This window comes from Homo sapiens, chromosome 7, assembly GCF_000001405.40.
Source record: "Homo sapiens chromosome 7, GRCh38.p14 Primary Assembly".
NCBI lineage: Eukaryota > Metazoa > Chordata > Mammalia > Primates > Hominidae > Homo > Homo sapiens.
Window position 1 is genome coordinate 34,568,384 of NC_000007.14, and position 24,491 is coordinate 34,592,874.

The following is a 24,491-nucleotide window of genomic DNA, read 5'->3' on the forward strand; positions in this document are numbered from 1 at the left end:
GAGAAACAAAGTTTTGCATTCCAGTATCATTTAGTAATAACTGCAGCATCTTGTACAATTTGCATGCCCATTCTAAAACACCAATTCCTAATGCATGCTATGGGATAACACACACAAAACAATGACTATTTGGGGTAGCACATTACTAGTTCTCAAAGTACTTTCAACATAATCATCAGTATCTGTCTAAAGAGCTCATGAAGCTATGACCTTTATGTAACAAGCACAGAAAAGCAGGGATTACAGGTAGTGATGGAGAGACAAATGGGGTAGTGTCCGACAGTATTCAGGAAATGAACAGAGATTTAAACAATAAGAAAGTTGATGGCTAGGGAGGACAGATATGAGTAACTCTGTTTATCAGTTTTCACACAGTATGCCCACATATTTATAAACCACCCACCTTTGCTATACAGAGCCAGACTTTTTTCTATACTTACCTCATTGAAGCTGGTTGCAGTCAGCTCAAGGCCATGTCACATAAAGTATTGCTCATGTATTTTTCAATTTGTAGGGTTAGAGTTTTATCTATAACAATATTTTATTACAGAATTGGCTTCCTGATACATTTCAACCACCACTTGCAACTTACACGGACCCCAAAATAAATACATAAATATGTAAATAAATAAAAATGAACAAATTGGCAAGCACCAATATTACCACTATTGTCAAAATCCCTATTACTTCAGGAAATTTAAAAAATATTAATGCACAATGATAGCGATTGTAATTATCTACAGTGTATAATTATCAATACTCATTGATATTAACAGCTGAAAGCTGGAACTTTCTTTTTCATTAATAGAAGCACAGCAGTTTTTACATTAATATTAAAGATAAAATGTATGTGTGTTTTGCCTACAAGCTAAAGCTTCGGAGCCCATTACACTTGTATGGCTGGGGCAAATTGTATCAGAATGCTCAGCTGACCTGGAGACATGGGTGTGTAATTGAAATGGCTTCCTACAGTGCAGATAAAATCAGTGACAAGAGATTCACGCTAGAATTTATCCCGGCAATATTCCTATTTACGTAGATAAAGGAAAATCCTCAAGTGTTGATGTTTGAGGGGATGATAATGAATCAAACCTCTTCTCCACTCCCATCTCTAGGTTAAGAAATCAGACAGCATAGATAAATGAATTCAAGGGCTCGATTACTGACAAAGCTGATAGGAGAATGCAGCTCAGAGCTAGTGCCAAAGGAGCATCCTGATCCATCCACTCCATTCAATGCTCCTCTGGAAACAGAAATTAAAATTGCCAACCTGGTCACTAACATAGCAGGATGACCTCACAGTTTTCCAGCTAAGGCAGAAGACTTACACATGGCAGAGGATGAGAGACGGAATGCTCTAGGTGGAAGAGTGTCACACCTGGGATGCCTCAGTGCTCCTGCACATGACTTCTCTTTCTAGCAGAGCAGCCCGGACTTCCTACTTGACAGCTCAGAGGAGGAAGCAGGCGTTGCCAGTCCTGCGAAAGGATAGCAGCAAAATCAGCACAACATCACTTCTGTTACCAGAAAGGGGTCCCAATCCAGACCCCAAGAAAGGGTTCTTAGATTCTCATCCAAGAAATAATTCAGGGCAAGTCCATAGATTAAAGTGAAATCAAGTTTATTAAAAAAGTAAAGGAACAAAAAATGGCTACTCCATAAGCAGAGCAGCCCCAAGGGATGCTGGCAAGCTACTTTTATGATTATTTTTTGATCATTTGCTAAATAAGGGGTGGATTATTCATGAGATTTCCAGGAAAGGAGTGAAGAATTTGCAGAACTGAGGGTTCCTCCCCTTTTTATAGTATAAAGGGTAACTTCTGGATGTTACCATCGCAGTTGTGAACTGTCATGGCCCTGGTGGGAGTGTGTTTTAGCATAATAATGCATCATAATTAGCGTGTAATGAGCAGCTAAGAAGACCAGAAGTCACTTTTGTGGTCATCTTGGTTTTGGTGGGTTTTGGCCAGCTTCTTTACTACATCCTATTTTACCAGCAGGGTCTTTATAATCTGTATCTTGTGATACCAGTCTTACTGACCTCCTATCTAATCTTGTGAGTAAGAATGCTTAACCTCCTGGGAAAGCAACCCAGCGGGTCTCGGCCTCATTTTAATCAGTTCCTATTCAAGATGGAGTCGATCTGGTTCAAACACCTCTAACACTTCTATTGTATTCTACTGGCCCAAGCAATCAGGCCAGCCCAGATCCAAGCTGGTGGAAGAATAGACTCCTTGGCTCAACCAAGGACTGGCATGTGGGTACAGAGAGGGAAAGAACTGATGGTAGGTAAACCGTCACATACTCCATGGGATATAAAGGTTCCTCACAGTTGCCTCTGCTTACCAATTTCGTGTTTACCTAATGTTGGATGTGTTTCCATTAATTAATATTGTTCTAGGCTCTGAGTGTGAAAAGAAAGAGAGCGCTGGCATGCACAGCTTTAATAAAATTCTCCCCTGCTATGGATTCTTACTGCTCTTCACTTAATGATATATGAAGCTTGTTATGCTCTGGCTATTCAATGAAAAATGAGTCCCATGAAAGATGAATCAGTAGAGCCTGAAGATTTATTTGTAAAAAGAGCCTCATATTCTTAATGCTTAAAATAACCTCTGTAGTTTGAAAAGCTGTAAAAAAAATTAACTTAATGTGCTATAATAACATATTATATAATAATTTCTACATTTCTACATTTGTAAAAGAGTGTTTTCTCATTTATAATTTCATTTGACTCATGACAGTCCTATGAGAAGCATAGATACAAATGCTGTTGGGCCTGAAATAAAAACTTAGGCCTTCTCCCTTTAAAATGAAATATTTTGTTTGATGGTAAAAATAATAAGTGTTTTTGTAGAAAATCAAGACAAACAAAAAGCTTTAGAATTAAAAAAAAAAAATCCCCCTAAAAGTACATCTTAGAGACAAGCATTATTACCTTTGTGATTTAACTTCTAACACACTTTTATCTCTTTCCCCTCAGTTACCAGCAATAAAAAGATCGTAAAACCTTCCAACATAACATATATGGCTTTCAACTGTAATTGTACCAAAGAACAACAACCATGTATAACTTGGTTTTCCCCATCACTAAACACTGTTCAAAACACAATTACTAAATAATATTTTAAATCTGACTATATAAATAAACACATTATAGAATATTTAGAAGGTACAGAGAAGTAATATGAAGTTTATTTTAAAATTATCTGTATGGTCATTACCCATAGCCAACAATTGCTATCTTTTTGTTGTGTTTCCTTCCAAAAATATTGTATCTAATATAAGTAAGGGTACTGAAAGTGGCATGTACAAACCTATCCATCTACATGTCTCTCTATTTAATGAGTGTCTACATACACACATTCACTATATATATATAGACACTCAGTGTATATGTGTATATATATATACACACATTTTATATATACAATATTGTGATCATAGTGTGTACTGTTTTGTAACTTTCATTCACTTTTATCGATCAACATATGTTGAATATTTTCCCATGCATGCATTTTATAACACCATCTCACTCAACATGTTATTATGAAAATTTTCAAACATTTAGAAAAGTGTCAGGAATTTTACATTGTACACCTGCCACCTAGATTCTTCAATTACTGATACCAATTCGCATTACTCTTTTGCTGAAAGTCATTCCTAGGACTCTATCTGGCACTTCCAACTTGCTGTGCAATCGGGGTAGGTGAGCTGCAGTACACACTCCTGCAGACAGAAAATACCCTCCGACAGTACAGAGCTCAGGTAGACAAGGGGATATGGGTGGGGGATTGACAGGGTGGGCTGCAGAAAGAGATTATCTGCAGTAAATGGCTCAAGGTCAACGCTCTATTAATTTACCTTTCATCAGGTTTCTTTGAATCCTTTCTCTATAGTGTGTGTAGTCTCTGACTTTCTTAAGGCAGTTGCAAGGGAAGGGTTTACTGATTCTAATACCAGTTAGTGTGAACCCCCTAATCTGCCAAAATTCATGGTACTACAAAGAAATTGATTTTGTTCTTAAGAATGATTTGTATTGAATTTTTAGCCTTTATGCACCTAAACTTTCAAGTACCTTCCTATTTGAGAATGCAATGATCCACTAGAATGGTAGAGATATACATACTAGTAAACATTGGCCATGAAAAATTCAGCACTCAAGTTCTTTTTTTTTCTTTATATATATAGTTATTATACTTTAAGTTCTAGGTACATGTGCACAACGAGCAGGTTTGTTACATATGTATACATGTGCCATGTTGGTGTGCTGCACCCATTAACTCGTCATTTACTTTAGGTATATCTCCTAATGCTATCCCCTCCCCACTCCCCCCACCCCACAACAGGCCTCGGTGCGTGATGTTCCCCTTCCTGTGTCCAAGTGTTCTCATTGTTCAATTCCCACCTATGAGTGAGAACATGTGGTGTTTGGTTTTTTGTCCTTGCGGTGTTTGGTTTTTTGTCCTCGCGATAGTTGGCTGAGAATGATGGTTTCCAGCTTCATCCATGTCCCTACAAAGGACATGAACTCATCATTTTTTATGGCTGCATAGTATTCCATGGTGTATATGTGCCATATTTTCTTAATCCAGTCTATCATTGTTGGACATTTGGGTTGGTTCCAAGTCTTTGCTATTGTCAGCACTCAAATTCTAGGAGTGTCTCAGTGCCTGTGGTCTAAGTGGTACCCAAGCATCTGCAAAGAGATAGAAACGGAATGCTGAGCTGGCTTTCCTGGGGTTTAACTCTTGCCAAGTGAAACTGAGGAACTCCAGAAAAGAGCTCAGCTTTTCACCAGGCAGTGAGATTCCATGCACTCTCACTGAGCAATAAAATGTTCTTAACCCTGACACCCTCATATGAACTCCTATTTCTCTTGGGTGGGGAAAGGGGGAGAAGAGCTTCAAACTTCTCCTTAAGAAAAACAAGTTATAATTGTGAATGTTAAAAAATCATCTTAAACACTGCTGTTCCTGACATTATTTCATTTGAGTCTCAACATAACTTTGTGAGGTAATGGAAAATATCACCCATTCCCCCTGTTTGAGAGTAGGATTTGGAGGTTGAGATAGGTATTCAAGCCTAGGTCTTCTGACCCCTCACTCCCTCTTCCTTCCAGTCCTCTACTCTTATCTCTTCTTAGAAGCAAAGAGAAATTTGGTCAAGAGAAAAGACTAAACAAAATAACAGGCAAAGCAACTTTATTAAGAAACCCCTCATTTGACAACTTTCTTTATTCCACAATATGATGTCTATAAAATGTATGTTGCCTTCAAAAAATTTAAGAAGTTCAATCTTCCTCCTTTTCCTTATGCAACTCCCTGCAAATTGAAAGCTATTCTGACTAAATGATTGAAGGGAGCAGTGCACTTGCATCAAGGTCTCTTAACTCTCATTCTGCTAAAATGAAATTAACGAGGTAACTGCCCACCTGAGAAACTTTACACAAAGTAATGAGGCAGGACTCATTAATTGGCAGGGCATTGTTTACCCCAGTCTGCTCTTGGCTGTCTGAGGACCACCTCCTCAGCCTTTGGGCCACGGGGGAACTTCAATAATTTTCAGTCATAAAAATGAAAAATCACTGCATGGAAGTGAGATCAATGAGATCTATGCAACTAATATGAAGCAATTTTTTCCCCTCCCAAAAGCACTCAGATGAAAAGAAAGGACCAAATCACAGAGTTTCCAAAGAGCTGTCTCTTGTTTTACACAAGACAGTCTGAGTTCTTGATTTGCACTCAGAGGAGCCTGTTGTTTGGCCAGTGTCTACCCTTCATGTAGCGTTCCATAGAGATCTATGAAAATGTCGGTCTGGAAGAACTAGGGATGTTGACATATTTGGGTCAGATACATTTCGACTCATTCTCCTTTATATTTTATTTTATTTTATTTATTTATTTTTTTTTTGAGATGGAGTCTCACTCTGTCGCCCAGTCTGGAGGGCAGTGGCACGATAGCTCACTGCAACCTCTGCTTCCCGGTTTTAAGCAATTCTCCTGCCTCAGCCTCCCAAGTAGCTGGGACTACAGGTGTGGACCACCACACCTGGGGGACTAATTTTTGTATTTTTAGTAGAGATGAGGTTTTGCTATATTGGCTAGGCTGGTCTCGAACTCCTGACCTCAAGTGATCTGCCCAGCTTGGCCTCCCAAAGTGCTGGGATTACAGGTGTGAGCCACTGTACCCTGCCTCATTCTCCTTTAATTAATAATGTATATATTACCTTATGGTGGCTGGTCATCTTAATGGGGATATTTAATTGGCTTTTGAAAGACTAAAAGTTCACACCTGTACCTCTGGCACTCTGCAATTCTTCTTTCCGGCAATTAAAAAAACATAGAGGCAGATAGAAAGGTAGAAATTCTCAAAAAGTAGGCTTTCTGCCCTAATATGAAGCAAATATGGAAACTCAGGTCTCACTATGTTTTCTAAAATTCTACCCTAATATACTTAGATTTTACCGTTTATTTCTCCTGATCTTAATGAAGAAAGCTCTTGAGCTTCTCAGACCTGTCTAATCATCCAAGGACAAAATTCCAGGAATTCTGTGGGTTTGCCCACAGGAAATTATGCAGCAAATCAAGGTGAGCAATTGTCATGATTTCACTCGGAGATCAAAGGAGCACCTACCAAATTTTCTACCTTATTGTGTTCTACGATTCTTTCTAAATCAACAGCATCAAGCCTTTCCTCTGTTTGAATTCCTAGTCAACATGGAAAATTTAGACAAAGTCCAATAATATTTCAAGGGGTGATTTGGCCACCCTGGTCACATGGTTGTGTTTTCTCACCTGTAAAATGAGCCAACTGTGTTAATGTATTGTGCTTCCTTCCTGACATCTGCTACCACTGACATTCCCTTCTCATGTTGCTGTCTACATCTTTATTTTAATTACAGCTTGTGCTGCTGACATTAAGTGATTTTCAATTAGCCTTGGTGAATCACACAAAGTTATAGCAAGAGAAAAAATTTGAAGATTACCTAGTCAAACCTCTTTCTTTTTGTAAATCACGAAATGAAGCCTCAGAAAATTAAGTAATTTTCCTAAGGAGACATTGCTTGTTTTTGACAGAAACTCTATGCTGATCTGTGACTCAACACTGCAGTCTTCACTCACACACTACCGGTTCAAAGTATTTTTAGCCATTGGGCTCTTCCTGCTAATTATATATTATGAGGAAGGCAATATATAAAGAGGATAAATTCAAAGCAGATGTGGGGCCCAGAGACTCACCTGTTGGTTGCCATACAAATGGCCAATAAGTGCATGAAAAGATGCTTAACATCAATAATCTTTAGGGAAATGAAAATCAAAACTACAATGAGATAGTACCTTGCAACCATAAGGATGGCTACTATTGAAAAAAACAGAGAATGACAATTGTTGGCAAGAATGTGGAGAAATTTGGGGGATGGAGCCAAGACGGCCGAATAGGAACAACTCCAGTCTACAGCTCCCAGCATGAGCGATGCAGAAGACGGGTGATTTCTGCATTTCCAGCTGAGGTACTGGGTTCATCTCACTGGGGAGTGTCGGAAAGTGGGTGCAGGACAGTGGGTGCAGTGCACCAAGCATAAGCCAAAGCAGGGCAAGGCATTGCCTCACCCGGGAAGCACAAGGGGTCAGGGAATTCCCTTCCCTAGTCAAAGAAAGGGGTGACAGATGGCACCTGGAAAATCGGGTCACTCCCACCCTAATACTGCGCTTTTCCAACTGTCTTAGCAAATGGCAAACCAGGAGATTATATCCCATGCCTGGCTCGGAGGGTCCTATGCCCATGGAGCCTTGCTCATTGCTAGCACAGCAGTCTGAGATCAAACTGCAAGGTGGCAGTCAGTCTGAGGGAGGGGTGCCTGCCATTGCCGAGGCTTGAGTAGCTAAACAAAGCGGACAGGAAGCTTGAACTAGGTGGAGCCCACTGCAGCTCAAGGAGGCCTGCTTGCCTCTGTAGACTCCACCTCTGGGGGCAGGGCATTGCCAAACAAAAGGCAGCAGAATCCTCTGCAGACTTAAATGTCCCTGTCTGACAGCTTTGAAGAGAGTAGTGGTTCTCCCAGCACGCAGCTGGAGATCTGAGAACGGACAGACTTCCTCCTCAAGTGGCTCCCTGAACCCCGAGTAGCCTAACTGGGAGGCACCCCCCAGTTGGAGCAGACTGACACCTCACACGGCCAGGTACTTATCTGAGACAAAACTTCCAGAGGAATGATCAGGCAGCAACATTTGCTGTTCACCAATATCTGCTGTTCTGCAGCCTCCGCTGCTGATACCCAGGCAAACAGGGTCTGGAGTGGACCTCCAGCAAACTCCAACAGATCTGCAGCTGAGGATCCTGACTGTTAGAAGGAAAACTAACCAACAGAAAGGACATCCACACCAAAACCCCATCTGTACGTCACCATCACCAAGACCAAAGGTAGATAAAACCACAAAGATGGGGAAAAAACGGAGCAGAAAAACTGGAAACTCTAAAAATTAGAGTGCCTCTCCTCCTCCAAAGGAACGCAGCTCCTCATCAGCAACGGAACAAAGCAGGATGGAGAATGACTTTGACGAGTTCAGAGAAGAAGGCTTCAGACGATCAAACTACTCCGAGCTAAAGGAGGAAGTTCGAACCCATGGCAAAGAAGTTAAAAACATTGAAAAAATATTAGACTAATGGCTAACTAGAATAACCAATGAAGAGAAGTCCTTAAAGGACCTGATGGAGCTGAAAACCAAAGCACCAGAACTATGTGAAAAATGCACAAGCCTCAGTAGCCGATTTGATCAACTGGAAGAAAGGGTATCAGTGATGGAAGATCAAATGAATGAAATGAAGTGAGAAGAGAAGTTTAGAGAAAAAAGAATAAAAAGAAATGAACAAAGCTTCCAAGAAATATGGGACTATGTGAAAAGACCAAATCTACGTCTGATTGGTGTACCTGAAAATGACGGGGAGAATGGAACCAATTTGGAAAACACTTTGCAGGATATTATACAGGAGAACTTCCCCAATCTAGCAACGCAGGCAAACATTCAAATTCAGGAAATACAGAGAACGCCACAAAGATACTCCTCCAGAAGAGCAACTCCAAGACACATAATTGTCAGATTCACCAAAGTTGAAATGAAGGAAAAAATGTTAAGGGCAGCCAGAGAGAAAGGTCGGGTTACCCACAAAGGGAAGCCCATCAGACTAACAGCTGATCTCTCGGCAGAAACTCTACAAGCCAGAAGAGAGTGGGGGCCAATATTCAACATTCTTAAAGAAAAGAATTTTCAACCCAGAATTTCATATCCAGCCAAACTAAGCTTCATAAGTGAAGGAGAAATAAAATCCTTTAGAGACAAGCAAATGCTGAGAGATTTTGTCACCACCAGGCCTGCCCTAAAAGAGCTCCTGAAGGAAGCACTAAACATGGAAAGGAACAACCGGTACCAGCCACTGCAAAAACATGCCAAATTGTAAAGACCATCGAGGCTAGGAAGAAACTGCGTCAACTAACGAGCAAAATAACCAGCTAACATCATAATGACAGGATCAAATTCACACATAAAAATATTAACCTTAAATGTAAATGGGCTAAATGCTCCAATTAAAAGACACAGATTGGCACACTGGATAAAGACTCAAGACTCATCAGTGTGCTGTATTCAGGAAACCCATCTCATGTGCAGAGACACACATAGGCTCAAAATAAAGGGATGGAGGAAGATCTACTAAGCAAATGGAAAACAAAACAAGGCAGGTGTTGCAATCCTTGTCTCTGTTAAAACAGACTTTAAACCAACAAAGATCAAAAGAGACAAAGAAGGCCATTACATAATGGTAAAGGGATCAATTCAACAAGAAGAGCTAACTATCCTACATAGATACGCACCCAATACAGGAGCACCCAGATTCATAAAGCAAGTCCTTAGAGACCTAGAAAGAGACTTAGACTCCCACACAATAATAATGGGAGACTTTAACACCCCACTGTCAACATTAGACAGATCAACAAGACAGAAAGTTAACAAGGATATCCAGGAATTGAACTCAGCTATGCACCAAGCGGACCTAATAGACATCTAAAGAACTCTCCACTCCAAATCAACAGAATATACATTCTTTTCAGCACCACACCACACCTATTCCAAAATTCACCACATACTTGGAAGTAAAGCACTCTTCAGCAAATGTAAAAGAACAGAAATTATAACAAACTGTCTCTCAGACAACAGTGCAATCAAACTAGAACTCAGGATTAAGAAACTCACTCAAAACCGCTCAACTACATGGAAACAGAACAACCCGCTCCTGAATGACTACTGGGTACATAACGAAATGAAGGCAGAAATAAAGATGTTCTTTGAAACCAACGAGAACAAAGACACAACATACCAGAATCTCTGGGACACACTCAAAGCAGTGTGTAGAGGGAAATTTATAGCACTAAATGCCCACAGAAGAAAGCAGGAAAGATCTAAAATTGACACCCTAACATCACAATTTAAAGAACTAGAGAAGCAAGAGCAAACACACTCAAAATCTAGCAGAAGGCAGGAAATAACTAAGATCAGAGCAGATCTGAAGGAAATAGAGACACAAAAAACCCTTCAAAAAAATCAATGAATCCAGGAGCTGGTTTTTTGAAAAGATCAACAAAATTGATACACCATTAGCAAGACTAAGAACAAAAGAGAGAAGAATCAAATAGACACAATAAAAAATGATAAAAGGGCTATCACCGCCAATCCCACAGAAATACAAACTACCATCAGAGAATACTATAAACACCTCTACACAAATAAACTAGAAAATCTAGAAGAAGCGGATAAATTCCTCAACACATACACCCTCCCAAGACTAAACCAGGAAGAAGTTGAGTCTCTGAATAGACCAATAACAGGATCTGAAATTGAGGCAATAATTAATAGCATACCAACCAAAAAAAGTCCAGGACCAGATGGATTCAAGGCCGAATTCTACCAGAGGTACAAGGAGGAACTGGCACCATTCCTTCTGAAACTATTCCAATCAATAGAAAAAGAGGGAATCCTCCCTAACTCATTTTATGAGGCCAGCATCATCCTGATACCAAAGCCTGGCACAGACACAACAGAAAAAGAGAATTTTAGGGCAATATCCCTGATGAACATTGATGCAAAAATCCTCAATAAAATACTGGCAAATCGAATCCAGCAGCACATCAAAAAGCTTATCCACCATGATCAAGTGGGCTTCATCCCTGGGATGCAAGGCTGGTTCAACATATGCAAATCAATAAACATAATCAAACATATAAACAGAACCAATGACAAAAACCATATGATTATCTCAATAGATGCAGAAAAGGCCTTTGACAAAATTCAACAACACTTCGTGCTAAAAACTCTCAAGGTATTGATGGGACATATCTCAAAATAATAAGAGCTATCTATGACAAACCCACAGCCAATATCATACTAAATGGGCAAAAACTGGAAGCATTCCCTTTGAAAACTGGCATGAGACAGGATGCCCTCTCTCACCACTCCTATTCAACATAGTGTCGGAAGTTCTGGCCAGGGCAATCAGGCAGAAAAAGGAAATAAATGGTATTCAATTAGGAAAAGAGGAAGTCAAATTGTTCCTGTTTGCAGATGACATGATTGTATATCTAGAAAAACCCATCATCTCAGCCCAAAATCTCCTTAAGCTGATAGGCAACTTCAGCAAAGTCTCAGGATACAAAACCAGTGTGCAAAAATCACAAGCATTCTTATACACCAATAACAGACAAACAGAGAGCCAAATCATGAGTGAACTCCCATTCACAATTGCTTCAAAGAGAATAAAATACCTAGGGATCCAACTTACAAGGGATGTGAAGGACCTCTTCAAGGAGAACTACAAACTACAAATGAAATAAAAGAGGATACAAAGAAATGGAAGAACATTCTATGCTCATGGGTAGGAAGAATCAATATTGTGAAAATGACCATACTTCCCAAGGTAATTTATAGATTCAATGCCATCCCCATCAAGCTACCAATGCCTTTCTTCACAGAATTGGAAAAAACTACTTTAAAGTTCATATGGAACCAAAAAAGAGCCTGCATTGCCAAGTCAATCCTAAGCAAAAGGAACAAAGCTGGAGGCATCATGCTACCTGACTTCAAACTATACTACAAGGCTACAGTAACCAAAACAGCATGGTACTGGTACCAAAACAGATATAGACCAATGGAACAGAACAGAGCCCTCAGAAATAATGCTGCATATCTACAACCATCTGATCTTTGACAAACCTGACAAAAACAAGAAATGGGGAAAGGATTCCCTATTTAATAAATGGTGCTGGGAAAACTGGCTAGCCATATATAGAAAGCTGAAACTGGATCCCTTCCTTACACCTTATACAAAAATTAGTTCAAGATGGATTAAAGACTTACATGTTAGAGCTAAAACCATAAAAACCTTAGAAGAAAAACTAGGCAATACCATTCAGGACATAGGCATGGGCAAGGACTTCATGTCTAAAACACCAAAAGCAATGGCAACAAAAGCCAAAATTGACAAATGGGATCTAATTAAACTAAAGAGCTTCTGCACAGCAAAAGAAACTACCATCAGAGTGAACAGGCAACCTACAGAATGGGAGAAAAGTTTTGCAATCTACTCATCTGACAAAGGGCTAATATCCAGAATCTACAATGAACTCCAACAAATTTACAAGAAAAAAAAACAGACAACCCCATCAACAAGTGGGCAAAGGATATGAACAGACACTTCTCAAAAGAAGACATTTATGCAGCCAAAAGACACATGAAAAAATGCTCATCATCACTGGTCATCAGAGAAATGCAAATCAAAACCACAATGAGATACCATCTCACACCAGTTAGAATGGCAATCATTAAAAAGTCAGGAAACAACAGGTGCTGGAGAGGATGTGGAGAAATAGGAACACTTTTACACTGTTGGTGGGACTGTAAATTAGTTCAACCATTGTGGAAGTCAGCGTAGTGAATCCTCAGGGATCTAGAACTAGAAATACCATTTGACCCAGCAATCCCATTACTGGGTATATACCCAAAGGATTATAAATCAAGCTGCTATAAAGACACATGCACACGTATGTTTATTGTGGCACTATTCACAATCGCAAAGACTTGGAACCAACCCAGATGTCCAGCAATGATAGACTGGATTAAGAAAATGTGGCACATATACACCATGGAATACTATGCAGCCATAAAAAATGATGAGTTCATGTCCTTTGTAGGGACATGGATGAAGCTGGAAACCATCATTCTCAGCAAACAATCACAAGGACAGAAAAAACACTGCATGTTCTCACTCATAGGTGGGAACTGAACAATGAGAACACACGGACACAGGAAGGGGAACATCACACACCAGGGCCTGTTGTGGGGTCGGGGGAGGGATAGCATTTGGAGATATACCTAATGTTAAATGACGAGTTACTGGGTGCAGCACACCAACATGACTCATGTTGTAACTAACCTGACTCATACATATGTATGGCTCATACATACGTAACTAACCCGCACGTTGTACACATGTACCCTAAAACTTAAAGTATAAAAAAAAAAAAAGAAAAAAAGAAACCAACCTTACCAACACCTTGATTTAGGATCTCTAGTTTCCAGGATTGTGAAACAATAAGTTTCTTTTGTTGAAGTCACTCTGTTTGCAGTATTTGTTATTGCCACCCTAGCAAACTAACACAGCCTCTTATGCCAAAAAGTGATAATGAGATCTTTATGTTATAGCCCTTCAGATTATCATTACTTCTCTTCTGGATTATTTAAATTATTCTTCAGTTCATCTGTATGCTGTTGTAATCATATTTCAGAAATACAGATTTGATCTTGTCAAAAAAATAAAAAATGAAAAACAAAGTCTCTCTCTGCCAATTCTAAAAAAAAAAAAAATGTGGAGAAATTCAAACATTTGTGCTCTGTTTGTGGGAATGTAAAAAGGTACAGCCGCTGTGGAAATAGTAGGGTGGTTTCTCAAAAAATTAAAAATATAATTACCATATGATCCGGCAATTTCACTTGTGGATATATACCCCCAAAATTGAAAGAAGGGTCTCGAAGAAATATTTGTACAACCATGTTCATAAAAGCATTATTCACAATAGCTAAAACATGTACCAACCAAAGGGTCCATCAGTGGATGAATGGATAAACAAAATGGGGTGAATACATAAAATGGAATATTATTCAGCCTTAAAAAGAAAGGAAATTCTGACACATGTTACAACATGGATGAAGCATAAGGACATCATGCTAATTGAGATAAGCCAGGCACAAAAACACAAATACTGTATGACTCCACTTATATGAGATACTTAGAGTAGTCAAAATTTTAGAAACAGAAAATAGAATGGTGGTTGCCAGGGGCTGGGGAAGGGAGGAATGGGTAGTTAGTGTTTAATGACTATAGAGTTTTAATCTTACAAGATGTAAAAAGTTACAGAGATGGGTGGTAGTGATGGTTGCACAACATTATGAATGTATTTAGTGCCACTGAATTGTATGCTTAAAATAGTTAAGAGAGTAACGTATATGTGTATTTTATCACAATAAAAATTCTGGAAAAAATAAAAGAGATGCATTAGTCACAACTGTAGGCCCATGCTAATGCATACTGACTGGTCCCAGCGCTACCTTGAGAGATCTACTCCACATAGTTTGTAAACCAGCACACTTTACCATGTTAGCAAGGCTAAAGATGGGAGAAAGTTGGGAGAAAGTTAGTCATCCAGCATTTCATCCAGAAGTCCTAGAAACTGGAATTTACAACATTGCCTGATGGAGGACTCATGTGTAGTCACTGATTAATTGCAGTATCAATTTCCATGGAAAGAAACTACATAAAAATACAGCTTAAGTTAATGCCTTCAGCTAAGCAGAATAAACTTTAGCTAAGCAGAGTAAACTCCATATGGTAAATAAAAACTTTGCCACAATCTTACACAGTGGAAAGCAGAAAGTGCTAGTAATCCATGGAAAATGGCATTTGAAAAAAATTGAAGTTTGACGTGTGTGTGTGTGTGTGTGTGTGTGTGTAAGTGGAGGTGGTTCTGAAAAGCAATGAAACCCCAAGACACATCACTTGGCAGATGGAAAGAATGAAGAAGCTGAATCATTGTTATTTTCACTTACATCAAAACTGTACTTTCTCTTAGTAGAGAAGGTAAATATAGGAAGGAAATGGTCAGAACATCTGGAAAATCACAAGTAAATAGATTTGAAGTTTAATGTCTTCTACTTGTGCATATTCTGATTTCTGCCCTGGATGTTCACCCCTTTGCCTCTGTACCCTAAAGACAATATCAATGGGCATATCTAACATTTCTCTTTGCTATGGTTTGCATGTATGTGTACCTCCAACATTCATATGTTGGACCCTAATGCCCAATACTATGGTATTCAGAGGCAAGGCCTTTCAGGCAGTGATTAAGTCATAAGCACTCCATCCTCATGAATAGGATTAGTGGTCTTATAAAAAGAGGCTGAAGGAAGAATCTTAGTCCCTTTTCCCCTCCTGCCCTTTATCTCTGCAATGAAACAGCATTCACCCCTTCTACTATGTGAGGACGCAACAACAAGGTGCCACCCTGGAAGCAAAGATTGAGTCTCAGACACTGAATCTGCCAGTGCTTTGATCTTGGACTTCCCAGTCCCCGGAACTGTGAAAAACAAGTTTCTGTTGTTTACAAATTACCCAGTCTAAGGTATTTGGTTATAGCAGCAAGGACAGACTAAGATACTCTTCAAGCTCAGTTTATGATGCACAGTACAAATCATGACACCATAGTTAGAACATCAGCGATACAGACCTGGTTGGATCATGTTACTCTCCTGGCTCTAGAAAATCATTAATCCTTAGGAGTCTTAGTTTCTCATCTTTTAAATGTCATGAAGATTTGAAACTGCCTTTCAAAATTATGACTGAGACAGTGAAAGAGATCTAACTTAACCGACTCTTATCTTGCTTCTAACATCCGAGCTGTCTTTGTTCATTCCTGGGCATAGGCTGAACTAACTTTGGGAGAAACTTAGTTTATAGTTTAAAAAAAGATGGCAACAGCCCTTTCCTGAAGCAGACCTCCTTCTTGCCTGGGGTCTAGATTGCCTTTGTAGGACTAACATTAGCCACAAGATTAGAAATTATGTTTTAAGAGTCATACAGCTGGAGGCTACAAGATTCTGACCCTCCCCGAAACTGCTCCTAAGATCAGTGCTTGAGATATTTTGCACATCCTGCACTTGATGGATCAGCTGGCACCACCCAGATCAATAAACTAGCTCATCTGATCTTGTGCCCCCTCCCCGCCCCGGCCAGGAACTGACTTAGCGCAAGAAGACAACTTCGACTCCCTGTGGTTTCATCTCTGACCCGTCAACACTCCTGGCTCACTGGCTTCCCCCAAGCCACCAAGTTATCCTTAAAAACTCTGCTACCTGAATGCTCAGGGAGACTGATTTGAGTAATGATAAAACTTTGGTCTCCCTCACAGCTGGCTTTGTGTGAAATACTCTTTATTGCAATTCCCCTGTCTTGATGAATTGGCTCTGTCTAGGCAGCAGGCAAGGTGAACCCCTTGGGCAGTGACAGATTTTTTTTTTTACTCACTTTGTTGCTAAATGCAGTAGCTAGGAATTTTAAGTTTACTGTTATTATTCGTATTTCTGAGAGACACAAGGATGACTGGCGGTGGTATGCGGCCCCAAAGACTACCTTATTTTTCTAGAGCCTACACAAGTTCAGAGAGGAAGCCTTATAATGAGACTCAAGGAGCAATTTTCCGATCTTCTTCAGAATTGAGTAGCTTACTGGGAGCTATCAAATCATGTCATAGGATGACATCATATGTTTATGCATCTAGGTACAAACCACACAGCCAAGAGAGAATCAAATATTCTTTATCTCCAGATCATTTGTTTCCTTCCTCTCATTGCTTCTTGTGAGCATAAAAAAATTCTCAGGGACATAAAATAGATTCCACATCAAACTGACTTGTATTATTTTTTAAAAATATATTTTATTTAACCAACACCTATACAGCCTTCACTATATGTGGGGACTATTCTTAAAAGCTCTGTGACTGTTAACTTATTTAATGTTCAACCATATGAGATAAAATATTCTCTTTAACAGATGAGAAAACTGAGACACATCAAGGTTAAGTACGTCACTCAAGGTCACATGGTTAATAACTAACAGGGTAAAAAATTCAAATTCAGACATCTCACTCCAAAATTCCTGCTCTTACCTATTATATTATGCTGCATCATTAAAAGTAAAATATTACTTTTTAAAAGTTCTTTGACATTGCATTAACTGGAAACTAAAATCACCAGCCACCAACAATGTACTGTGGGTACTTCGAAGCCAACAGGCAAAAGATAGAATAATTTTTCTAATCTCCTTTTGACGGCTGGAATTGTATAAGTATTTAATCCTCTTCATGTTGAGTATTAATCGTTAGCAAGTGGATGCCTCCTGAAAATTGCATGGGATAAACTAAAGTGGGTTTTACAGAAAAAAGCTGTATTTTAACTGCACTCTCTAGATTAGCAGAATGGTGAATGAGTAGGTCTGGGCCTACAGTAGAATCTCTTATAAGGAGGCTTCCTTCTAATAGGCTTTCTCCAGCTTTTCAGAGACTGAGGAGAAACTGCACTCAGTGCTATGAACATAGAGCTGCAATGGCTATTACTTAGAGGTGGTCCCTTTCATATGGCTAAGAGGGGACTTGTTTTAAGCAGCTGAATCAGTGCTCTGAAACCTGCAATGCCTGCTTGTTTTCTTTGCTAATATTAAAGAGAACCGCCCCTTCCCACCATACTTGTGTGGGAGCCCCAAATCGTACGAATAAAACACAATAAGATATCACGACAACCATGCCTGAACTGAAGCGCATACAGGACATTTCTGATGAAGGGAGTGCTATTTCTGATGGCTCCATTAACATGGGCCTTTGTGACAGGGATGGGTTCTTGCACCTTCAGCTGAAGACCAAAGTAAAGTCAATGTCATTGTGAATAGGTGAATTTTAGTTCCTCAAATGAGCCAACTGTAGTTACTCTTTGGAAGAATATACATAATCCTGGTAGTTGTATTTTCCTTCAGGCTATTCAGGAGAAAACAAGCTATAGTCTCATTGTTGGAGAGAGCAGATATGCAGTTTAAGCCAGCTACTCCCTCCCATATCCTCCAACAAGCAAGATATCCCTTTCCTCTTCAGAACCAAGGAAAGCCCAGATAGAGAAAAGCTTCATTCACATAGAGCTAAATAAAGACTGGGGGTCAGCATTTGTTAGACATGGGGAGGGAGCAGGGGAGAGTTGATGGGGCAACTGTTATCATATGGAAAGAAGTAGCATGTCCTGTGAAAGGAGGTGAGAATGAAGAGGTAAAGAAGTACAGAGGACTGTAGAGAGGGAGAGAGCTGGTTGAAAGAGGGAAGGTCCCACATGGGATGCCTTCCAAAGACCTAATGAGCAGGTCTTGTCTCTGAGTTCCCTCTCAGTCTCTCACTCTCCTTCCAAGTTCAAAGATATGGATAGCTAAATAAAGTCACAACTCTCAGTCATCAAATTCAGTACTGGTTTATGATATGTACTTAAACCCTGTAATAAAAAAACTGCTGTGGAGATATTAGCAATGGAGAAAGTGGGGTGCTGGAAAGACTGACCATTACATAAAGCCTTGATTTGTCATATTTGCCAATTTTCTTAGTGTAAATGCCCTAATCATTGTTGTTTTCAAGCTACCAAAGCGATGTCACTAAGTGCAGGGTTTGTAAGAGGTGCCCACAGCCACTCTCTCCTGAGCCAGTACAACCTGGCCACAGCATACCACACCATGGGGTTGGTCCATGTTCCCTTCAGATCAACAGCTTACATCTTCTACTTAATTGAAAAGCTAATAGACCATCAGATGATAAAACACACTTGAGAGACTACAGACTATCTTCCTTGACATTTTTCTTCATCCACAGGTTACGAAAGGATGAATATAACTCAGGTAATGACCATGAAAATGCATGGTAGTTGAAAGTCTTTGTTCAGTGTAGTAGTACCATGATTCCCTGTGTTCACACAGGCCAAGTGTTGAACACTGCACTTGGCCTCTACAATACCCATGTACTGATATTCACTCAAGTGAAAAATAAGTCAAGGAATAAACAAAATACTCTCTTATTCCTGGAAATGGCTACTAGAGGCAAGGTTGGAGAAGAGCACTTATATCTGTGGTCAAGTGGGCTTTTAAACAGGAAATTCCTTGGTAGGAAAGGGTCTGAGGGGAGTAGCCACTTCCAAAATGGAAAGCATGGAGGAAAGTAAGAGTCCCTGCTGTCTGCAGGAAGAATGGGTCCCAAGGGAGCTTAGAGCAAGGAAATGATAGAAGAAAGTGACTCAAACTAAATAGATATCTATCTTAGTACAAGCTGGACCAGAGCAGAGCTCCTGAAGCTTCCTGTAGATTCTTGATCCTGCTAAGAAGTGAGAATTACAATGTGGGAGAGCAGAGGGAAGTGTTGCTCCGAAGGGCAGCTTCACCCAAGAGGGAAGGGAGAGAGAGACTAGGTGTGTTTCCTCTATATAACTCACCAATCAAATCAGTTACTCTGGGAAGCAGGCTTGTAATGCCTATGGATGTCCCTCCGTATGAAGGGAGAGAATGGTACCAGCCCCCTACCCTTCCACTGCCAAGCTCATTTTTATCTTAGTCTATTGAGCTTGACCATTAAGCTTTTTGTCACCGATGAATACGGCTGCTCCCTCATGGGAGAAGAGTGGCCCAGGTCTACAGGACAGACCTGCTTCACCTTCACTAAGCCCATCTCCAGCACTGACCTCTGCGTCTCTATGTATCCTCATGAGGGTGCTGATGGCCAATTGTAATTTGCCTCCACCACATTCAGCAATTGGTCAGAACAGCTAATTAATTAGGACAACCCCAGGGTCATTTGGTTCCCAAGGCTGAAAATTTGTCCTCTATTTTATTTCTCATGCCAAATTACATCCAGAGAGCATATCAGAGGTTTTGAATAAAAATGAATGAATAAAATGCCAAATAGATAGATATCTTGAATTTGATTACTAAAACTGCTCCCCTAATCAAATTTCAGAGGGAAATTAAAGTCCAAAAATTAACACTTTTGCTTGTTAAAGTCCAATATTTATGCCTTCTAATTTCATATTCTGCTCATCTCAGGTAAAGGGCTTATGATAGAGCCCTTAACTTCACCTGTAATGGAAGTTACCTGTAATGGAACTTCACCTGTAATGGAAGCTTCTTCTGTTGCTTCCTGCAGAACACTCTGGATCAAGTAGTGGGAGAAACCACTCATACAGCTGACTTACCTCCCTCCAGCCTCTCAGACCCCATGCAGCAGTGCTACGCCCAGAGTTCCTTGACTTGGCTCCTTGCTACAACACATCTACATGCTTTTTCACTTTCTGTGTCTCTCGTGCCCCTTGCCAACTCCCAGTTTTCTCCTTCTTTATTACCACCCCTTCAAAATTAATAGAATTAGGATGGAGTTGAAATGTACAGATGTGCAGCTGCCTCATCTTCAGTTTCTAGGTAGTCACAGACTTCAGTAGATATTCCCAATTGTTCAGAAAGAACTTACAAAGTGGACTTTTGATATACTGCTGTATTTGTTGCTAGGAAAGAGTACAACCCCAAAGTTTATTCTTCTTCACTTTTGGAAAAGTACTGCACTCTGCGGTTCATCGCCCTGACAGGATGAGCTGATGTCTCCCAGTTGGAATCTACTCCTCTTGCCTTCTAGCTATTTCTGAGCATTAAATATGTTAGAACCAAAAACAGAAACGGTTGCTCCATGCTTCATTAGAGAACCTTGATAACATTGTCCTCAGGGACCACACCACATAATGAGACCCATTTGGTTTTAAAACATTACTTCATGAACAAGGAAAGTAGTTTTACTCAACTGAAACTATGATATCAATTTTTTTTATTTCTGTAATCATTAAATGCAACTTTGATGAATAATTTCTAACATTTAAAATGTGGCTCCTGAATCTCTCTTCTCATTAAAAAGGAAAAAAACTAGTTTTGAAAATAACCATCCCTCTCAGCTCTATTAGTGTATGGTTCAGTTTTTAAATAAATGCTTTCACTTAAAAGTAGAGTGTGCATATTAAAGAAAATTTGGATACCCAGAAAAGTGGACAGAGGAAAAAAGTACATGTAGTCCCATTATCCAAGAAAAATCATCATTAACATTTTAATGTTTTCACTTATAATTTCTTCTTAGTTTTATGCTTATATTTCCTCAGATTGAAAGTAGGTCAATTACCCATAAATTAAGCTATTAATTTAATGTAATGCTAAGTTGCGATTCCCTATTAGAATGCAATTCGAACATAAATCCCCATGGGTTTCTTTTAGAACCTGATTAGTTCACTCTAAATTCAACCTAAGGTATAAATTAATAAGACTATGTAAGAAAAAATTTTGAAACAGCGAATAAAGAAGTTGCCTGGCAAAATGTATGAAAATTTAAAATGCATTTTTTTTTAATCTAACATACCAATTTGGTGAAGCTTTCCCTAACATGTACAAGGCTGGTCTGCAAAGATATATGTCAAAGGGTGTTTTGGGGTGGTTTTGTCTGTTTTGTTTTGGAACTGCAAAATGAAGAGTTGAAGTTATCGCACTTCTCCACTCATGAAACATTAACTGCCATCATCCACACATGGAAGGACCATGTCTTGTTTATTTTCCACAGGACTGATTCTTGTTCCATGTTTCTTTCCTTAAAATCCCCAATCTTCATTCCCTTTTTCCTCCTTCCCAAGTAATCATATATCACATTATGATTATACATTATTTAGGATTTTTTTATCACAAGGAATAAGGCAATGAACATCATCCCCCATGAGCTTTCCATTATGGACCTCTGCAAAACTTTAGCTGGGACACAGGATAATATATAAGAATATATATTCTTGTCTTCCCAAAGTACTTTTGAATTGCTTTCCACATTGTCTGTACCATTTTTCATTATCATCTACTTGTCCATGTGGTTAATTTCCTTTCATTCTTTCCAATACTTGTCATTAACTTTTGTTAATGTAATGAGTATAATGTAGTGGTTCACCACTGTCATAATTCACATCTTATTAATTAGTAAGTTTGACTGTCACTTCATATACTTAAGAGCCATTTAATTTTTCACTTCTGAGATTTGAGTATACACATTTGTCTACTTTTCCTTTTGGTGTTTTGATTTTTCCCGAATGATTTGGAAGAAATCTCAAATATTCTAAATTCTAATCTCTTGTCAGTCTTAGTTTTGACAAGTATCTTCCTCCAATCCATTGTCTGTCTATTAATTTTGTCTATGGTGTTTTCATTTGATAGAAATCTCCATTTTTGATGTAATAAAATCTTAATTTTTCACATTGTGAGTTATATTTCTAAGGTCCTCTTTAAGAATATCTGTCTGACCTGAAGTCAGAAAGATAACCTCCTCTACTTTTTTCCTGTTATCTTTATTTTGACTTTTAATATTTATAATTCACTGGAATTAATTCTTGTATTTTGAATGATATATAGCTCTTTACACATGAGCTTCTATTAATAATATATCTTCTCCCTCATTGACATGGTACCATCTTACATTAAGTTCCCCCAAATACATGGCTCAGTTTCTGACTGTCCATGGAATTATATTTACCTGCTTGTACCTGAACCAGTAGCCCACCTATTTTTTTTCCTTTATGACAATGTCCTGGTATTAGGGCATATTCTCTGGTAGATTTAATCCTCACTACTTACTTTCTAAAAATGATTTGGGAATTTTTAAATATGAAAAACAATATAAGAAGCAAATAGAATTAAAAATAAGAAATGAGTAAGAATATACAAGATCAGAGAGACAAATTTTTAAAAATTGACCTAACTGGCATGTATAGAACATTGCATCTGACAGTGGCAGAACAGCATGGGGGAAACCACCCCCATGATCCAATCACCTCCCACCAGGCCTCTCCCCAGACATGTGGGGATTATACTATCAAATTACAAGTTGAGATGAGATTTGGGTGGGGACACAAATCCAAACCATATCAGTTTAATATTTGAAAATCAATGTAATTCTATACATTAACAGAAAAAAATTAAAGAAATAATTATTTCAATAAATGCAAAAAAAAATTAATGAGGCTAAAACCAAATTATGATAAAATCTCTTAGCAAATAGGGATAGAAGGGAACTTAATTTGACAAAGAATATCTATCTCCCAAAAAAACAAAAAAATTAATGGGACTAGGGTTGTCCTCCTACTGGAAATCAGTAGGTGACTGTGCCTTCCATGATGTGGTTTCTGTCAACCACCTCTACTCTTTTTCCAAGTTTTATACCCTTTGAGAGGTTCACAGCGAGGAGTATTGACATTGTCAGAAAATGATGATTTAGAAAAGTGGCAGGATTCCACGACCTGGAATGTTTAGTGCATAGAGTAACTAGCTTCAACCTCTCTGAAACCACTTGACCAAGAGGCAACCCTTGGGCATTCTCTTTCCTGGGAAAGGTCTAGGGAACAATAAAGGTCTAGAGAACAATAAAGGGATATTTCCAGCATTCTCTGCAGTGGGACATATAGAAGGTGCTATGGTTTGAACATTTGTCCCCTCCTAAACTCATATTGAAATTTAATTGCCATTGTAACTATATTGCGAGGCGACACCTTTAAGAGGCATTTAGTCATGAGGGATCTACCCCTCAACTCCTCTGGCCAGCCCATCCTTGCACATCACGTACTGCCTTAGCTGCAGGCCTTTGCACATGCCAGTCCTACGCCCAGAATGGTCCCCTGCCTCCCCGGAGGCTCCTTTACCTGCCAGCCTTCTTTTCTTGACCTAAATTTCCCTTTCTCTGGGAGAGCCTCCTACCCTCTCCTCTAGGCTATTCACTTCTTCCACATGCCCCATGGTGCCCACTCTTTCAGCTGGGGCAATGCTCGTCACACTGCATAGTAATTGCTCAGTTGAAAATTGCTCAGTTGAAACCTCTTTCCTTTATAAATTACCCAGTCTCAGGTAGTATCTTTTTAGCAGTGTGAGAATGGACTAATACATAGAGTGAGTTCACTTCCTCTTGCTCTCTGTCTTTCTTGCCCTCTCTCTGCCCTTTCACCATGGAATGATACAGCAAGGAAACCCTCACAAGATGCTGATACCTTGATAGTGGACTTCCAAACCTACAGAACTGTGAGCCAATAAATTTCTCTTCATTATAAATTATCCCAACTATGGTATTCTATGGTATTTACGGCAGCACAAAACAGGATAAGACAGAAGGGAAAAAAGTTCCTTCCATAGAGAAGTTCTCCCTTAGAGAATAAGACTTGAGAATACTCAAGAAGCCCTGGGCATGGATAGGACTTATGCAACATGAAAAACCAAGCAGGGGAACAGGAGTAACTGAACTGGTAAACATCCTTCATGTTTTC

At 39.3% G+C, this 24,491-nt stretch overlaps 1 long non-coding RNA gene across 2 annotated transcripts in view; it reads right to left on the minus strand.

Annotated features, from left to right (window-relative positions):
• Positions 1–24,491, minus strand: part of NPSR1-AS1 (NPSR1 antisense RNA 1) — a 487,820-nt gene that overhangs the window by 221,872 nt on the left and 241,457 nt on the right. Inside the window, exon 3 of one of the 2 annotated variants that reach the window (NR_033664.1) lies at positions 1,329–1,478. The exons of the other annotated variant lie outside the window; for it this stretch is intronic. This is a non-coding gene — a long non-coding RNA (NPSR1 antisense RNA 1). The remainder of the gene's footprint in view (positions 1–1,328; positions 1,479–24,491) is intronic. 2 annotated transcript variants of the gene reach the window in all.